Raw genomic sequence first — 18,721 nt, 5'->3', positions numbered from 1 at the left:
GGCTTAGAACCGCAGGAATTAATTCTCTCAGTTCTGGAGAGCAGAAACTGAAATCAGTTTTTCTGGGATAAAATCAAAGTGTTGCCAGGGCAGCTTCTGGTGCTAATGGTGACATACTCCAAACTACCTCTGTGGTTATAGTGCCTTTTCTCTTCTGTCTGTGTCAAATCTTCCTTCACCTCTCTCTCTCTCTCTCTCTCTCTCTCTCTCTCTCTCTCTCTATATATATATATATATATATATATATATATATTCTTTTTTGAAGACAGCGTGTGACTCTGTTGCCCAGGTTCACGTTCAGCAGTGCAATCACAGCCCACTGCAGCTTCAGCCTCCCGGACTCAAGTGATCCTCCTGTTTCATTTTGCCTCTCTCTTGTAGTGACACCTGTGACTGCATGGAGGGTCCACCAGGTTAATCCAGGATAATCTCCCCCATCTCAAATTCTTTGCTTAATTCCTTTTATAAGAGTCATTTTTCCATATAAGATAACATGTACAGGGAGGGATTAAGACCTGGTATTTTGGGGGTCATTAATCAGTCTACTACAGTGTGATAGAGGGATGAATTTGGATACTCATCTAATGAATGCAAGTTGCCTTCCTGTGAACCTTGAGTTGGTAATGTTCATGAACAAGATGTTTAGTGCACCTGTTCTTTCTGAGATCAGAGAGTGACGAAGAGTAGAAAAGTGAAACTAAAAATACTGAAACAGTTAAAAAATAGCAGAGAATATTTCCCCTATAGTGACCTCAAATTTGAGCTTTAACTTCCCATTTAAAAGTTTTAGATTTTATATGCTGGAACTGAAGTGTTTTTAATATAAATAATAGAATACAGATCTGGCCAATCTGTTGGCAACCTTGAAGTGTGTTGACAAATCTTTATATTCACTGTAAGATTTTTGCATACCAGAAATGTTGCCCCTGTCCCCTCTCTGTCTACCTTCCCCCATCAATCAGCACAGGCAAAGGCCAGAAGTGACAAGTGATTGTGTACTAGACAAGCTAATGTTTGTGTGGAGAAAACACTTTTGTTCCCTGAATCTCTGGTGGCAAAGGACCCAGAACTCAAGAAGCAAATCTTCCAGTCTCCTTTAAGCCTTCTCTTCCATAAGTGGCCTCCTCCCTGGAATTGGAAACCACTGTCAAGTATCTACGTCCCTGTTGGCCCAGCGTGAGACTTCTACACCTTTGGCTCTTTGAATGCCACCTGACATGAACCCTCTGGCCACTTGCAAAAGGAGGTCAGAGGTTGCTGCCACTCATGCTGCTAATAATGTCTGATAATGATAAAACCACGTCCTGTTTGTCTTGTATTTTATCATAAAGAGCACTTTGATGTGCAGATTCTCTTTCCAAGGTGTTAGGAAAACAAAAGTAGATAAGACACATTTTCAACCCTTAATGATCATTTCAATCCAGTTAATTATAACTCGTTTAATCCCAGAAATGTAGAAAGGAGGATAAGAGAGTTATTATTATCCCCATTTTCCAAATGAGGAAGCTGGGTGTTAAAAAATAATTTTCAGAAAAAGGTTAAAGTGTGACTTTCATACAGATATAAAAATGAATAGACGTTAAAGATTTTGTTTAACACATTCAATGAGGGAAGCAGACAGATGTTACAACCATTTCAAAAAAGAAGTCAAGAAGCACAAATTTATATGGCATAAAAGAATATTGAAATTAATGGCAAATGAAAGCAACTGTTTTTCCCCCTTGGGGATAAAGGTGAGGAAGAGGGAAGTCAATAGAGCTTGTGGTGCACAGGACAGAATTTGTGTGACTACCAGGTAAGTTTAACAAAGAGTTGTAAAATAGCTCCATGGAATCAGATCACCAGAGGAAGGATGCATAAATGCATAGATTTCCAAATAGGGCCTGGATGTGAATCTCAGACTTTCTGACACCAAATTCAGGTTTGTTTCACTCTACCACATTGTCCTAGCTTCTGCAAAAGGTGCTCTTTTGTCACCTTAAGTCAAAGAAAGTTACCAAAAAAGAAAAAAAATAGGAAATGAAAGCATAAAAGGTAAACTGGTCAGAGGTTTCCTGCTATTCTGCTTTGTTTAGAAATTCTCACTGAGGCAGCCAGTAAGCCAAGATGCAGCTGAACCCAACTCTTGGAGAGATTGCCCGGGCCTCTGCCCATACTGAGGCACAGCTCCTGAAATGAAGCCCGCTTCAGAACTTACTCAAATGCATGTTGCTTCTTATTGCAGCTGGACTAGTAGCTTGAACTGTGATGGAAATTAAACGTCTGCTTCTAAATCCTGACAGGAATCTCCTAAACAGGGTCAAAGGCCACCTGTCTTAGTCAGCTCAGGCTGCCATAACAAAATACCATAGACTCAGTGGAAACAATAGATTTTATTCGTTCATTCATTTATTCATCCATTTTCACACAGTTCTGGAGGCTGGCAGTCCAAGATCAGGATGTCACATGGTTGGGTTCTGGTGAGAACTCTTTTTAGCAACCATCTTTTCATCTACTTCTATGTCCTCACATGGGAAAGAGAAAGTGAAAGCTCTCTGGTATCTCTTTATAATGGCACTAATCTCACCATGAGGGCTCCACCTTCATAATCTCATCTAAATCTAATATCTCCCAAAGGCCCCATCTCTAAACGTCATAACATTAGGGGTTAGGACTTCAATAGTTGAATTTGCATGGGGAAATAATTCCATCTATAGCAATGCCAATATGTGAACTAACTAACAGGCTTAAGCCAGGTACCTGAGATGGTCACAATTATGGGCAAGAAGATGTTCAATCCAAATAATGAAATTATAGCAGTTTACAAAAATGTTACAATTTATGTTTCTGAATGTTCCATACTAGAAATAAATAGAAAGGCACCACGGTCTCAAAGTGTGTGTGTGTGTGTGTGTGTGTGTGTGTGTGTGAGTGTGTGTGTTTATAAATTTTATTTGATAGTTTCAAATTACTAGGCTGAAGAAAGAAGAACATTAGCAAAAAATGATAGTGGCATTAATACATTTGCTCACTACTAATGACCTAAAACGTGGCAATTCAAAAGGAACAAATAATTATTTCAGTGTAGACTGTCACAGAATCTAGGGCATCATCAAACTTTGATCCCTTTGGGCTTTTTACTTGGAAAGAATGCAGTTTCTCTTTTTTTTTAACCTTAGCTTTATTCTCCAAACATTTTAAAATTTAATTCATGGGCTATTATTTTGTTCATAAGCTAAGTGGCTTACCCAAAAAAAAAAAAAAAAAAATTTCTTTCTTTGTACCAGATTGCTAAATACAGCCTCTTTCCAAGAGGCTTTATTGTTTTGTTGTTGCTGTTTTTATTTTTTATTTTTTAATTTTTAATTTTTTATTTCCACAGGTTTTTTGAGGAACAGGCGTTATTTTGTTTTCATGACATCACCCCATTCTCCCACCCCTGGTCCCTGACAACTGCCATTCTACAGTTGAGAGATTTGGTGATTTGTGAGTTGTTTTTTATTTACTTTAAAAATTTTTTGATTTGTTTTTTATCATCTTTTTCAATTTAGAGATGTTTTGCACAAGTAAAAATTATGGGGCTTATTCAGTAATACATGTCTGTAAGGAATAAACATTAAGAAACCCAAATTAGGGTCTAAATTAAGGAATTGTGAAACATGAAGAATAAAGAAATGAGGAAGTGAGAATATAGATGATAGACCTAAGAGATTTGTCTTAAGTTATGGTCATACGACAAGGAGAGGGGAAGTGATCTAATTTGTCAACAAGATGAAATAATAAAGCACTCACATAAAGAAATGTAAGTTTATATATGATGGTTTGCTTTGCAGGTTTCCTGGGACCACAGCACAAGCCAGACACTCACATGATGCAAATTACTTATGTGGATAAATAATAGATATGCACATATCACAAGATATTTTAACAAAATCTATTTAGCAACAATTTGCTAGTAATACACTATGAATAATCATAATTCTTCATTGACTTATATCCTACCGAGTCTCAGTCCTGCTTTCTGACAGCCAGCTCCTTAATGAATTACTAAGGACAGTAGGAAGCAGCCGCCAGAAGATGCTGCTTGTGAAATTTACCCTCTCGAAAACACTTTGATCATGTCTCTTCCCTAATTACAAACCTTTACTGGCCCCTCTTTGACATTGACCACGTCCTGAACTCCTAAAGAGGCAAAAATTTGTCCTTTATTAACTAGCCCAGTCCATCTCAGACACTCTCCCCTAAAAACTCTGGTCACATTAAGCTCACTGTCCTCTCAACTTCTGTGCACCTTTGCATAAGCTGTTCTTTTTACTCAGAATGCTCTCCTTCCTCTTTGTCTTAATAACATGGGCTATTGCAAAATGACAAATTACCACTGTCAATCTTATCCAGATCACTTAAAATAGTTGTTTGTTGAAGGAGCTATGCAACTTAAACTCAGGAAATACATTGCAATATATCTGCATTTATCCATCCATTCCTTTGGAAACCTGATCTTATTTATGTCTACCCTTTTGCAAGCAGGCTTGGTTAAGTTCAACATGTTATTCTAAAGATTTTTTGTCCTTGATTAGCTTAAATCAAATCATTGGCAATCACGTCTCTCATTTTCAAGTCTCACCACAAGTATCATCTAGTCTCCTTTACTAGTAATTCCATAGATCTTCATTCATACTTGGGGTACAGCACTTCCAATGAGATATATAATTGATCTTTTTGCATAGCTGCCTCTTTCAGGCTGGATAGATTCCTGTATTCACCTTTGTATCCTCAGCTCTAGCACAGGGTCTCATACATAATTGTTGTTCAATACATGATATCCTTAGATTCAAACTCCTGTCCAGTGACATTGGACACTACACAATTTGCTCTTAATCATTCATTTAATCTTTCAACTAAAATAAACTGAGCATATACTATGTGTCAGACATTGGGAATACAAAGACTAATAATACATCGTGCCTACCTAGTTCTAAAATCCAGAAAAAAGAAGTAACCTTATACCTTGCATGTGAGAGGGTTTTCTAAGACACTTATGAGAATTTGATTTAAAAAATAGGAAAATAAGGATTATACCCCTTTATTAGTATTACACAGGAAACTGCACTTCACAGACATGAAAATACTGTTTCAAAGATAAATACAGTACCTCACACATTCAGAACAGTTTGACAGCTGAAACACAGAAGAAATTGTTCAACATCTACTATGTAACTGCCAAGCTCTGTGCAAAATGCTGTGAACGTAAAAACAAGACACAATATTTGCCATTATGTAAACTTGCTATGTTTGGGGAAAAGTATACTCCCATGAAACTGTTACCAAAATCAATGCTATAAACTTAACCAACACCTCCAAAAGTTTCTTCCTCCTCCATTTTTGTTGTTTTGTTTTTTCTTTTTGTTTTTTGTTGTTGTTGTTTTTGTTTTTTTGTTTTGTTTTGTTTTGTTTTGTTGAGACGGAGTCTCGGCTCACTGCAAGCTCCGCCTCCCGGGTTCACGCCATTCTCCTGCCTCAGCCTCCCGAGTAGCTGGGACTACAGGCACCCGCCACCGCGCCCGGCTAATTTTTTTTTTTGTATTTTTAGTAGAAACGGGGTTTCACCATGGTCTCAATCTCCTGACCTCGTGATCCGCCTGCCTCGGCCTCCCAAAGTGCTGAGATTACAGGCGTGAGCCACCGTGCCCGGCCTTCTTTTTGGTAAGAGCATTTAACACAAGCTCTACCATCTTAGCAAATTTTAAAATATACAATACAGTATTGTTATTCATAGGCCCCATTTTTGTACAGTAGATCTCCAAAATCTACTCATCCTACATAAATGAAACTTTGCAACCTTTGACCAACATCACCCCATTCTCCCACCCCTGGTCCCTGACAACTGCCATTCTACTCTCTGCTGCTATTTGTATGACTATTTTAGATTTTACATATCAGTGAGATCATGCTGTGTTTGTCTTTCTGCGTCTGGCTTATTTCACTTAATATACTGTCTTCCAGGTTCATCCATATTATCACAGATAGGAGAATTTCCTCCTTTTTATGGGCTGAATAATATCCCACTGTGTGTATGTGTGTGTGTCTACATTTACATCTATATCCATGTATGTGGGTGTGTATATGTATACATACATGTATATAATGTTTTCTTTGTCGATTCATTTGTCAATGAACACAGGTTGTTTCCATATCTTGGCTACTGTGAATAATGCTGCAACGAATATGGGAGGATGGATATCTCTTCAAGATACTGATTTAATTTACTTTGGATATATACCCAGAAGTGGGATTGCTGGATCAAATGGCAATTCTATTTTTAATTTTTTGATAAATCTCCATATTGTTTTCCATAGTGGCTGTACCAATTTACATTCCCACCAACAGTGTACAGAATTCCTTTTCTCTACATTCTCACCAACACTTGTTCTCCTTTTTTTTTTTTGATAATAGCCAGTCTAGCATGTATGAGGTGATATCTCACTGTAGTTTTCGTTTACATTTCACTAATGACTAGTAATGTTGTACACATTTTCATATACCTATTGGTCATTTTGTATGTCTTCTTTAGATAAATGTTGGTTCAGGTCCTTTGCCCATTTTTAAATCAAATTATTTGTTGTTGTTTTCTATTGAGTTGTAGGTATTAAAGTCTACAAACATTTTCCCCCATTCCCTAGGTTGCCTTTTCATTTTGTTAATTGTTTTCTTTACTGTGCAAAGGCTTTACATTTTATGTAATCCTACTTGTTTATTTTTTGTTTTTTACCTGTGTTTTTGGTGTGATATCCCAGAAATCATTGCCCAGTCCAATGTCTGCAAACTTTTTCCTCTATTTAAAGACTTTTATTGTTTCCAGTTCTACATGTAAGTATTTAATCCATTTCGAGTTAATTTTTGTATATAGGGCCCACTTTCATGCTTTACATGTGGATATTCAATTTTCCCGACACCATTTACTGAATAGATTATCTTTTCCTCATTGTATATTCTTGGCATCCTTGTCAAAGATCAGTTGGCAATATATGTGTGGGTTTATTTCTGGGCTCTCTATTCTGTTTCATTGTCCCATATATCTGTTTTTATTCCAGTACCATACTGTTTTGATTACTGTAGCTTTATAATATGTTTTGATGTAATAGAATGTGATACCTCTGGTTTTGTTCTTAGTGCTCAAAATTTCTTTGGCTATTTGGAGTCTTTTGTAGTTTCAAGTAAATTTTAGGATTCTTTTTTCTATTTCTGGAAAACTGCCAGTGGGATTTTGATAAAGATTGCATTGAATCTGTAGATTGTTTGGGGAAGTATGGACATTTTAACAATATCAGTTCTTCAAATCCATGAACACAGAATGTCCTTCTATTTATTTGTATCTTTTAAATTTTATTTCATCAATGTTTTGTAGTTTTCAATGTACAAGTCTTTCACTTACTTGGTTGAGTTTATTTCTAAGTACTTTATTCTTTTAGATGCTATTATAAATATTTTTTAAATTTTCTTTATGGATAGGTTGTTTAGTGTGTAGAAACACAACAAATTTTTGCATATTAATTTTGTGTTCTGTAATGTAACTTTACTGAGTTCACTTATTAGTTCTAACAGTTTTTTTGTGGCACCTTTAGGATTTTCTACATGTAAGGTCATGTTATGTGCATGATATAAGATAGTTTTACTTTTCCTTTCTGGATTGCTTTTGCTAGGACTTTCAATACTATATTGAATAGATGTGGTGAGAGAGGACATCCTTGCCTTTTTCCAGGTCTTAGAGAAAAAACTTTCAGGTTTTCACCATTGAGTATGATAGTTGTAAGAAATACACTTTTAATTCATTAACTATAAATGCCTGTTTCAAAATGATGTTAGCAGTATAGGCAATTATATTCATATAAAATTCAAATTTAGATTATAAAAAGCTAATTGTTGTCTAGAGACTAATATAGGTTAAACAAAAACCCACCTTAGACACCATTAATGTATCTGTAAAACATACTCACATTTGCCACTCAGAAAGAACAGAGAGAGAATTCAATTTAAGTCCCAAAGCACTTTCTCCTCTTCTTGCCATTCCAACACATTCTGCTACTCTTTTTCATTATGGTATCTACAGCCCACAAAGCTGCTTGGGTATTGTTACAACAGCTTCACAACTTTTTACATTGGTTTGGAATCAGAAACAACATAATTTAGAAGCAAATTCAGTAAATTTTCACTATCATTTACTCATTCTAACTGAAGTCTTGCTGCTGCTTGATCTGTGACTTTTACAATGGTTGCTGTTTTATTTCTTTGTTTTGGCATTACAAATTTATTTCATTATTTGAAATTGATGCATTCTAACATTACCTTTTGTAAAGCAGACAATTTTATTTCTGATTTGCTGTCAATATCTCCACTCATCGATTTGTCTACATGGATAAGTTATTCTGAACATAATAATGATGTATAGTTCAATGTGCAATTGAACTATAAAATCTTTAATTGATGCCTAGTGCCATACTAAATAAAAATCAATGATTTATCAATCATTTGAACATTTGAACAGTTTAACACTTTCTAAAATAAATACAGATCAATTAGAGACATGTAACAACTAAACTTCCAGAGAAAATTACAATTAATATCACAGGTTAATTGGGTGAGATTGCATTGTTAGCATTCTACTCAATTTAAAATTGGGATTCATTTCTTCAAAATTGGTTAGACATACATTTTGTTTTTATCTGATCATCTATAAGTACATGTACATACAAAGATCTCCCAAGGAAAAGTTTTGGGTTGTTTTGCATGCATTGTATTTTTTATACTATCTAGAATACTTAGTCCATAATAATTAAAAGTATATTTGTTAATATCAAACTATCATTTTAATATGGTATGAATTACATAAAAATACAGACTAATGAGAAAAGCAAAGTCAAGATCAACCACAAGTAAGTCCATTTCTATCCGCCCAGTCATGAAGAGCCGTGAAATCTAAAGTACCATATCACTCCAGTTCTCTATGCCTGTTGAAAGTATGCCAGATTATTCTTTCATCCGGCATTAGCATTTTGAGCCTTTAAGGTTTCTGTAGTTCTGTGACACATTTATTGAATATTGAAGAGGAAGAAAGGCTCAGCAGAAAACCATCGTTGTTTTAAGTTTTACTGAGGTATGATTCACATTTCATCAACAGCACATATTTAAAATGTTAAATTTGATAAGTTTTGACATCCATGAAACCATCACCACAGTCAAGATAGTGAACATATTCATTACCCCAAAAAGTTTCCTCATGCTTCTTTGTAATCCCTCTCTCCCTTGTTTTCCTCTACTCATTCCCCTCTTCCCAACCAGATCTGCTTTTTATCACTGGAGATTATTTTACATTTTCTAGAAGTCTATATAAATGGAATCAAACAACATGCACTTTTTTTGGTATGGCTTTTTTCAGTAAGTATATTTATTTTAAGATTCATCCAAATTGTTTCATATATAAATCTTTTTTAAAAATTATATTGCTAAGTAACTTTCCATTTATGGCCACACCACAATATATTTATTCATTCATCTGTTGATGTTTATGTTCTTTTCAGTTTCTGACTATTACAAATAAAATGGCTATGAGCATACATGAATAAGTCTTTGTGTAAACATAAGCTTTTGCCCCCTTAGGTAAATTCATAGGAGTAGAATGACTGGATTATATGGTAGGTGTGGTGACCTTTTTAAGAAATTGCTAAACTGTTTTCCAAACTCCATACCGTTTTAAATTTCCACACACAAAAAAGTATGAATGTTCCCATTTCTTCACATCCTCACCAACTCTTAGTATAGTCATTCCTTAATTTTAGACATTCTACTAGGGCTATAGTGGTATCACATTGTGGTTTTGATTTGCATTTCCCTATAACTAATGATATTGTATGTCATATCATATGCTTCTTTGCCATCCATGTATCTTTGGTGGAAGGTCTGTGCAAATATTGTAAACACGTTTTAATTGTGTTGATTGATTTCTTATGGTTGAGTAAAAGTGCACTTCTTGCAAGCAAAATATAGTCTTATTTTTTTATTTCTACTCTGACAATCTCTGCCTTTTATTTGGGGCAGTTACAATATTTACATTTAATGTGATAGTTGATATTGTAAGGCCTAGGTCTATCACCTTGCTGTTTGTTTTTGCTCTGTCCCATGAGTCGTTTGTTCCCCCTTTTCTCTTTTCCAGTCTTCTTTTGTATTAATTATATTTTTAAAATTCTTTGTTTATTAGATGTAGTTATTTTGATGTGGTTTGTGTCATTGTTATTATTGCTCCTGTTTTAGTGGTTGTTTACAGCATATTACTAGCTTACCATTGTCTATCTTCAAGCAATATTATACCACTTCATGTACAGTACAAGAGACTTACACTAGTACATTTCATTTTTCTCCTCCTAGTCTTCATGTTATTGTTGATATACATTTTATTTACTTTTTATAAATTTCAGAATGCATTGTAATTTGTTTTAATAGTCATTTATCTTTTTAGAAGATATAACTATAAAGGAAAAAATGTTAGGTATTTACTCTTAGGGTTATCGTTTGTGGTGCTTACCATTCCTTTGTGTAGATCCATAATACCATGTGATACCATTTGTCTGATTGAAGGACATATTTTAACATTTCTTGTAGTGATGATCTGCTAGCTCTAAGTTCTTCCAATTTCACTTTTTAAAAAATGAGCTATTTTACTAGGTCTAGCAGTTTAAAGGTGTTTTTCCTTTCAGCACTTTAAGGATGTTTCTCTCTTGTCTGCTCACTTACATTATTCCTATTGAGAAATCTGTTATACATATCTTTATTCCTGTATGGATAGTGTTTCTTTTTCCTTGAGCTGCTCTTAAGATTTTCTCTTTATCACTGGTCTTGAACAATTTGTTTATTGTGTCTTGGTGTTGTTTCTTCATTTTTTTTGTATTCATAGATTTTAGTTGTCTCAAATTTGGAAATATTTTGGCCATTATTTTTCTATCCATTCCCCCTATCACTTGGCACTCAGGGACTCCAACTACATCTATACTGGGCCACTTGAAGTTCTTTCACAGCTCTCAGATGCTCTGTTAAGATTTTTAAAATTTGTTTTAGTCTCTATGATTCATTTCTGATAGTTTCTATTGCTGTGTCTTTAAATTCACTAATCTATGGCCGGGCGCGGTGGCTCATGCCTGTAATCCCAGCACTTTGGGAGGCCGAGGCGGGTGGATCACGAGGTCAGGAGATCGAGACCATCCTGGCTAACACGATGAAACCCCATCTCTACTAAAAATACAAAAAAAAAAGTTAGCTGGGCGCGGTGGCGTGCGCCTGTAGTCCCAGCTACTCCAGAGGCTGAGGCATGAGAATGGCGTGAACCCGGGAGGCAGAGCTTGCAGTGAGCCGAGATCACGCCACTGCACTCCAGCCTGGGTGACAGAGCAAGACTCCGTCTCAAAATAAATAAATAAACTCACTAATCTTTTCTTCTGCAATGTCTACCATATCATTAATCCTATCTAGTGTGTTTTTTAATTTCACTAATTGTAGTTTTTATTCCTAAAATTTTAATTTGAATATTTTGATAAGTACTATGTCTCTACTTAATTTTGAAGGACATGGAGTATAACACCTTTTAAATATCTTTGTCTGTTATTTCTAACGTGTGAGTTCTGTGTCAGTTTTAATTGATTGATTATTCTACTTATTAAGGGTCATGTTTTCTTGCTTCTTTGCATGCCAGAATATCTTTTTTTTTTTATTATACTTTAAGTTTTAGGGTACATGTGCACATTGTGCAGGTTAATTACATATGTATACATGTGCCATGCTGGTGCACTGCACCCACTAACTCGTCATCTAGCATTAGGTATATCTCCCAATGCTATCTCTCCCTGCTCCCCTCACCACACAACAGTCCCCAGAGTGTGATATTCCTCTTCCTGTGTCCATGTGATCTCATTGTTCAATTCCCACCTATGAGTGAGAATATGCGGTGTTTGGTTTTTTGTTCTTGCGATAGTTTACTGAGAATGATGGTTTCCAATTTCATCCACGTCCCTACAAAGGACATGAACTCATCATTTTCTGTGGCTGCATAGTATTCCATGGTGTATATGTGCCACATTTTCTTAATCCAGTCTATCATTGTTGGACATTTGGGTTGGTTCCAAGTCTTTGCTATTGTGAATAATGCCGCAATAAACATACGTGTGCATGTGTCTTTATAGCAGCATGATTTATAGTCCTTTGGGTATATACCCAGTAATGGGATGGCTGGGTCAAATGGTATTTCCAGTTCTAGATCCGTGAGGAATCGCCACACTGACTTCCACAAGGGTTGAACTAGTTTACAGTCCCACCAACAGTGTAAAAGTGTTCCTATTTCTCCACATCCTCTCCAGCACCTGTTGTTTCCCGACTTTTTAATGATTGCCATTCTAACTGGTGTGAGATGGTATCTCATTGTGGTTTCGATTTGCATTTCTCTGATGGCCAGTGATGGTGAGCATTTTTTCATGTGTTTTTTGGCTGCATAAATGTCTTCTTTTGAGAAGTGTCTGTTCATGTCCTTTGCCCACTTTTTGATGGGGTTGTTTGTTTTTTTCTTGTCAATTTGTTTGAGTTCATTGTAGATTCTGGATATTAGCCCTTTGTCAGATGAGTAGGTTGTGAAAATTTTCTCCCATTTTGTAGGTTGCCTGTTCACTCTGATGGTAGTTTCTTTTGCTGTGCAGAAGCTCTTTAGTTTAATTAGATCCCATTTGTCAATTTTGGCTTTTGTTGCCATTGCTTTTGGTGTTTTAGACATGAAGTCCTTGCTCATGCCTATGTCCTGAATGGTAATGCCTAGGTTTTCTTCTAGGGTTTTTATGGTTTTAGGTCTAACGTTTAAGTCTTTAATCCATCTTGAATTGATTTTTGTATAAGGTGTAAGGAAGGGATCCAGTTTCAGCTTTCTACATATGGCTAGCCAGTTTTCCCAGCACCATTTATTAAATAGGGAATCCTTTCCCCATTGCTTGTTTTTCTCAGGTTTGTCAAAGATCAGATAGTTGTAGATATGCGGCATTATTTCTGAGGGCTCTGTTCTGTTCCATTGATCTATATCTCTGTTTTGGTACCAGTACCATGCTGTTTTGGTTACTGTAGCCTTGTAGTGTAGTTTGAGGTCACGTAGTGTGATGCCTCCAGCTTTGTTCCTTTGGCTTAGGATTGACTTGGCGATGCGGGCTCTTTTTTGGTTCCATATGAACTTTAAAGTAGTTTTTTCCAATTCTGTGAAGAAAGGCATTGGTAGCTTGATGGGGATGGCATTGAATCTGTAAATTACCTTGGGCAGTATGGCCATTTTCACGATATTGATTCTTCCTACCCATGAGCATGGAATGTTCTTCCATTTGTTTGTATCCTCTTTTATTTCCTTGAGCAGTGGTTTGTAGTTCTCCTTGAAGAGGTCCTTCACATCCCTTGTAAGTTGGATTCCTAGGTATTTTATTCTCTTTGAAGCCAAGATTCATAAAGCAAGTCCTAAGTGACCTACAAAGAGACTTAGACTCCCACACATTAATAATGGGAGACTTTAACACCCCACTGTCAACATTAGACAGATCAATGAGACAGAAAGTCAACAAGGATACCCAGGAATTGAACTCAGCTCTGAACCAAGCAGACCTAATAGACATCTACAGAACTCTCCACCCCAAATCAACAGAATATACATTTTTTTCAGCACCACACCACACCTATTCCAAAATTGACCACATACTTGGAAGTAAAGCTCTCCTCAGCAAATGTAAAAGAACAGAAATTATAACAAACTATCTCTCAGACCACAGTGCAATCAAACTAGAACTCAGGATTAAGAATCTCACTCAAAACCTCTCAACTACATGGAAACTGAACAACCTGCTCCTGAATGACTACTGGGTACATAACGAAATGAAGGCAGAAATAAAGATGTTCTTTGAAACCAACGAGAACAAAGACACAACATACCAGAATCTCTGGGACACATTCAAAGCAGTGTGTAGAGGGAAATTTATAGCACTAAATGCTCACAAGAGAAAGCAGGAAAGATCCAAAATTGACACCCTAACATCACAATTAAAAGAACTAGAAAAGCAAGAGCAAATACATTCAAAAGCTAGCAGAAGGCAAGAAATAACTAAAATCAGAGCAGAACTGAAGGAAATAGAGACAGAAAAAACCCTTCAAAAAATTAATGAATCCAGGAGCTGGTTTTTTGAAAGGATCAACAAAATTGATAGACCGCTAGCAAGACTAATAAAGAAAAAAAGAGAGAAGAATGTAATAGACACAATAAAAAGTGATAAAGGGGATATCACCACCGATCCCACAGAAATACAAACTACCATCAGAGAATACTACAAACACCTCTACGCAAATAAACTAGAAAATCTAGAAGAAATGGATAAATTCCTAGACACATACACTCTCCCAAGACTAAACCAGGAAGAATCTCTGAATAGACCAATAACAGGATCTGAAATTGTGGCAATAATCAATAGCTTACCAACCAAAAAGAGTCCAGGACCAGATGGATTCACAGCTGAATTCTACCAGAGGTACAAGGAGGAGCTGGTACCATTCCTTCTGAAACTATTCCAATCAATAGAAAAAGAGGGAATCCTCCCTAACTCATTTTATGAGGCCAGCATCATTCTGATACCAAAGCCAGGCAGAGACACAACAAAAAAAGAGAATTTTAGACCAATATCCTTGATGAACATTGATGCAAAAATCCTCAATAAAATACTGGCAAAACGAATCCAGCAGCACATCAAAAAGCTTATCCACCATGATCAAGTGGGCTTCACCCCTGGGATGCAAGGCTGGTTCAATATACGCAAATCAATAAATGTAATCCAGCATATAAACAGAGCCAAAGACAAAAACCACATGATTATCTCAATAGATGCAGAAAAAGCCTTTGACAAAATTCAACAACCCTTCATGCTAAAAACTCTCAATAAATTAGGTATTGATGGGACGTATTTCAAAATAATAAGAGCTATCTATGACAAACCCACAGCCAATATCATACTGAATGGGCAAAAACTGGAAGCATTCCCTTTGAAAACTGGCACAAGACAGGGATGCCCTCTCTCACCACTCCTATTCAACAGAGTGTTGGAAGTTCTGGCCAGGGCAATTAGGCAGGAGAAGGAAATAAAGGGTATTCAATTAGGAAAAGAGGAAGTCAAATTGTCCCTGTTTGCAGACGACATGATTGTATATCTAGAAAACCCCATTGTCTCAGCCCAAAATCTCCTTAAGCTGATAAGCAACTTCAGCAAAGTCTCAGGATACAAAATCAATGTACAAAAATCACAAGCATTCTTATACACCAGCAACAGACAAACAGAGAGCCAAATCATGAGTGCATGCCGGAATATCTTTCACTGGAGGAAGACATTGTTTTACCTTTATGGGTGCTGGGCATTCTAATATTCCTATAAATACAATTGAGCATTGTTCTGAGATGCAGTTAAATTACATGAAAACAGTTTGATTTTGGGGAATCTTACTTTTATGATTTGATAGACATGTCAGAAGCAGTGCTAGGTAAAGGTCTAATTATTTCCCACTTACTGAGGCAAGACCTTCTTGAGTACTCTACACAGTGCCCCATGAATTATGAAAATTTCCACTTTGGCTGGTGAAAAAAAGAACAATTCTCAGCCGTTGTGAATGTCAGGCACTGTTCTTTCTGATTCGTTCAGGTAATGTTTTTCCTGGCCTCAGGTAGTTTTCTCACATGTGAGCACTGACTGGTACTCTGCTATAAGTCAGGGTTTGTTCGTTGCCTATTTCCTGGATTCCTTTTTGGTGCAACTCTCTTTTTGCAAACACTCTGTCTTCTGAACTCCAGCTACTTGGGCATCCTTGGACCCTTAGTTCCCTGTTCTCAACCTAGGGAATCTGCTGGAATCTACCAGTGATCCCCACCCCTGTGTCATGACCTGAAAATGCTCTTAAGGAAGTAATCTGGGGCAAACATAATGTTCATCTTGTTTGTTTTCTCTCTCTGTGGTATCACTCTCCTGCACTGCCTGATAGCCACTGTCCAGAAAACCATTGTTTCATATATTTTGCTGGATTTTTAAATTTGTTTCAAACAGCATGATAAATCCATTCTTGTTTTTCCACTTTTGCCAGAAAGCAGAAGTCACTGTCACAAAATTTTGCAGCCAAAAAAACAAAACAAAACAAAACCTTGTTTGTAGAAATCTTATTTATCCCTTTCTAGATTTTTAGAAATATTTTCTATTCAACATATTGCTTCAGTGTGAATGTTTGTATACTCCTCAAATCTATATGTTAGAATCCTTTCTCACAGTGATGGTATCAGGAGGAGGGCCTTGTGAGAATACTACTAATTGCCTTCTGGCAACACTGCCATTTGAAAGATAATAATAACAACAACAATAATAAATGGATATTGAATGCTTGCCATAATGAGATATAATCAGACTCATAAATCCAGCTCAGAGACTAGGCTATTTAGTGCCTACTTGACAAAAAGGGCTGATTAGTAATAATATTAGTTAATGCTAAAAACATATATTATCCACCAGACATTATTGTAATTCTTGACATATATTTACTAATATGATCTCTATAATTACTCTATGGGAATGTTGTGTTTCTATATTCATTTTATAGGTGGGGTAACCAAGGCATCAAGAAGTTAAGTTATTTCTCCAAGGTCTCTCACCTAGTAAATGACAGAACCAAATATGAGCCCAGCAGTATTATTCCAGAGTCCTCCTCTTATAATAATCTCTCTCAATTAGCCTTTAAATTTGTTTAAAAATGAAAATCAGCGATTATCACAGCTCTGTGCATGTAGGAGTTCAATTTTTCTCAGAAGATGCAAAGAAAATCTCTGAACTATTTTTGCAGCAGTACTCATATATGCGTGCAGGGAGAATACTGGGTATAGCCCAATATTCTGTCATTAAGTTCTCTTGCCAAAGTTCTTTAGTCTGTTTTAGGACAGAAATGATTGCAAAATGCTGAGTTGTGGATTGTCCATCTAGTGCTGTCTGATAAAATGTTCTGTGATGATCTAAATGTTTCTATCTGTAGCATCCAATAGCCAGTAGACATTCATGGGCATTGAACCCTTGAAATGTGAATAGTGTAACTGAGAAATGAAATTTTTAATTTAGTTTAGTTAAATTTAAATAAAACAGTCACAGGTGGCTAAAAGTTACTGTATTGAGCAGAGTAGATCTGTGATGGAGAAGTTTCCACTTGTCATCACAAAAGACAGCACAAAAAAGCTTTTGTAAGATACTAATTAAAACCTATGAGAACCAAAATAAAGCTCTTCCAGCCACTCTCTATGATTTCATTCCACCCACTCTTCCTCTTCCCTCTTCCCTGCCAGACAAAACACACACAAGATAAACACACGCATAACACACATAGACACAGACTCTCTGTCTGTCTCTCTCTCTCTCTGTGTCTCTCTCTCTGTGTGTCTCTCTCTGTCTCTCTCTCTCTCTCTCTCTCTCTCTCTCTCTCTCTCTGTCTGTCTCTCTATCACATCAGAAAAATAGTTATTTCCTGAGTAGTATGTCCTGGACTTCCGTGTTGACCAGGACTTGCTACTGTTGTTTTCTCTGCCTGAAATGCCCCTCCCCACTAGCCTTGCAAATGTCTCCTTCCTTCTCAAAATCTCATAGTTCCTTTCTTGGTCCCCTGAGTCCCCTTAACAGAATTGATTGTTCCTGTGTTCCTAGGTGTGATGGTTAACTGTATGCGTCAACTCACCTGTGCCATGGTGTGCTCAGAGTAAACATTATTTCTGGCTGCGTCCATTGGGGTATTTCCACATGAGATTAGCATTTCAATCAGTGGACTCAATAAATAAAGTAGATGGTTGTCACTGGTATAGGTTGGCACCATCCAACCTGTTGAAGGCCCAAATAGAACAATAACAAAAAAAAAAAAAAAAATGGAGGAAGGAGGAATTTTTCCCCTTTGCTTCCTGCCTGATTGCCTGAGCTGAGATATCAGTCTTCTCCTGCACTTGAACTGAAATTTACACCTTCCGCTCCCCTGGTTCTCGGGCCTTCAGAATTGGACTGGAATTATACCACTGGCTTTACTGGGTCTCCAGCTTGCAGATTATGAGACTTTTCAGCCTCCATAATTGTGGGATCCAATTCCTCATAATTTCTCTCTCTCTCTCTGGAGAACTCTGACTAATACACTAGCTATAAATGACCTCTGTGATTTAAAATTAATTTTTTATCAACTGAGGATGGATTGCTGGATTAGTAAAAAAAAAAAAAGAGAATGGGGACTAGAAGATCACAATCCAAACTGATTTCACAGAACTGCACAGGGCATGAAATGTCCCTGGTAGCACGTCAACCAATCATGTTTTGTAACAATCTTGGCTTTGCTCCAATTATTCAAAAGATGATTAGTACACATTACTTTTGACAGTTTTGCTATATTTCCTTCAGTTTAGCAATGAGAATTTGTGTTACAAATGCACCTCATTATCTTGCGTAAAACATAGAATTTCCAGTTTGGGGCTTTTTAGTAGAAAACAATGGCATGCAGGATACTGATATGACTCTTGTGAATGAGTTGACTTCAGGAGCCCAACTTTACTCTGATGCTATTTAATATGCCCAAGGTATCCCCATAGTTTGCAAGAATAAGGCAGACTACAAAAGAAATCTTTAAAGGTGCCTTCCAAGAA

General features: G+C 36.5%; 1 protein-coding gene and 1 long non-coding RNA gene across 9 annotated transcripts in view, besides 1 other annotated feature; one reads left to right on the top strand and one right to left on the bottom strand.

The window, feature by feature from the left end:
- Window positions 1-10,015, top strand: part of SHPRH (SNF2 histone linker PHD RING helicase) — a 106,521-nt gene extending 96,506 nt beyond the window's left edge. For 2 of the 6 annotated variants that reach the window (XM_047418600.1, XM_047418601.1), the window contains exons 30-31: window positions 3,362-3,465; window positions 6,161-10,015. In XM_047418600.1, the coding sequence (XP_047274556.1) occupies window positions 3,362-3,465; window positions 6,161-6,426 (370 nt within the window). In that variant the 3' untranslated portion in view covers window positions 6,427-10,015. Of the gene's footprint in view, window positions 1-3,361; window positions 3,466-3,812 lie in introns of those variants that run through there. The other 4 variants (XM_006715443.5, XM_047418603.1, XM_006715439.5 and 1 more) reach the window with 3 other exon arrangements.
- EPM2A-DT (EPM2A divergent transcript) overlaps window positions 1-18,721 on the bottom strand; it is a 151,717-nt gene that overhangs the window by 18,733 nt on the left and 114,263 nt on the right. The gene's annotated exons all lie outside the window — the stretch shown is intronic.
- Window positions 2,461-2,630: an enhancer, noted in NCBI's record as "active region_25228". NCBI's record gives its function as "activates an Ori minimal core promoter by ATAC-STARR-seq in GM12878 lymphoblastoid cells {active_cell/tissue: GM12878}" and the evidence as "EXISTENCE:reporter gene assay evidence [ECO:0000049][PMID:35858748]".

Source organism: Homo sapiens, chromosome 6 (genome assembly GCF_000001405.40).
Source record: "Homo sapiens chromosome 6, GRCh38.p14 Primary Assembly".
Classification (NCBI taxonomy): Eukaryota; Metazoa; Chordata; class Mammalia; order Primates; family Hominidae; genus Homo; species Homo sapiens.
The sequence above is the reverse complement of the archived record's forward strand: the minus strand, read 5'-3'. Positions and strand labels throughout refer to the sequence as shown.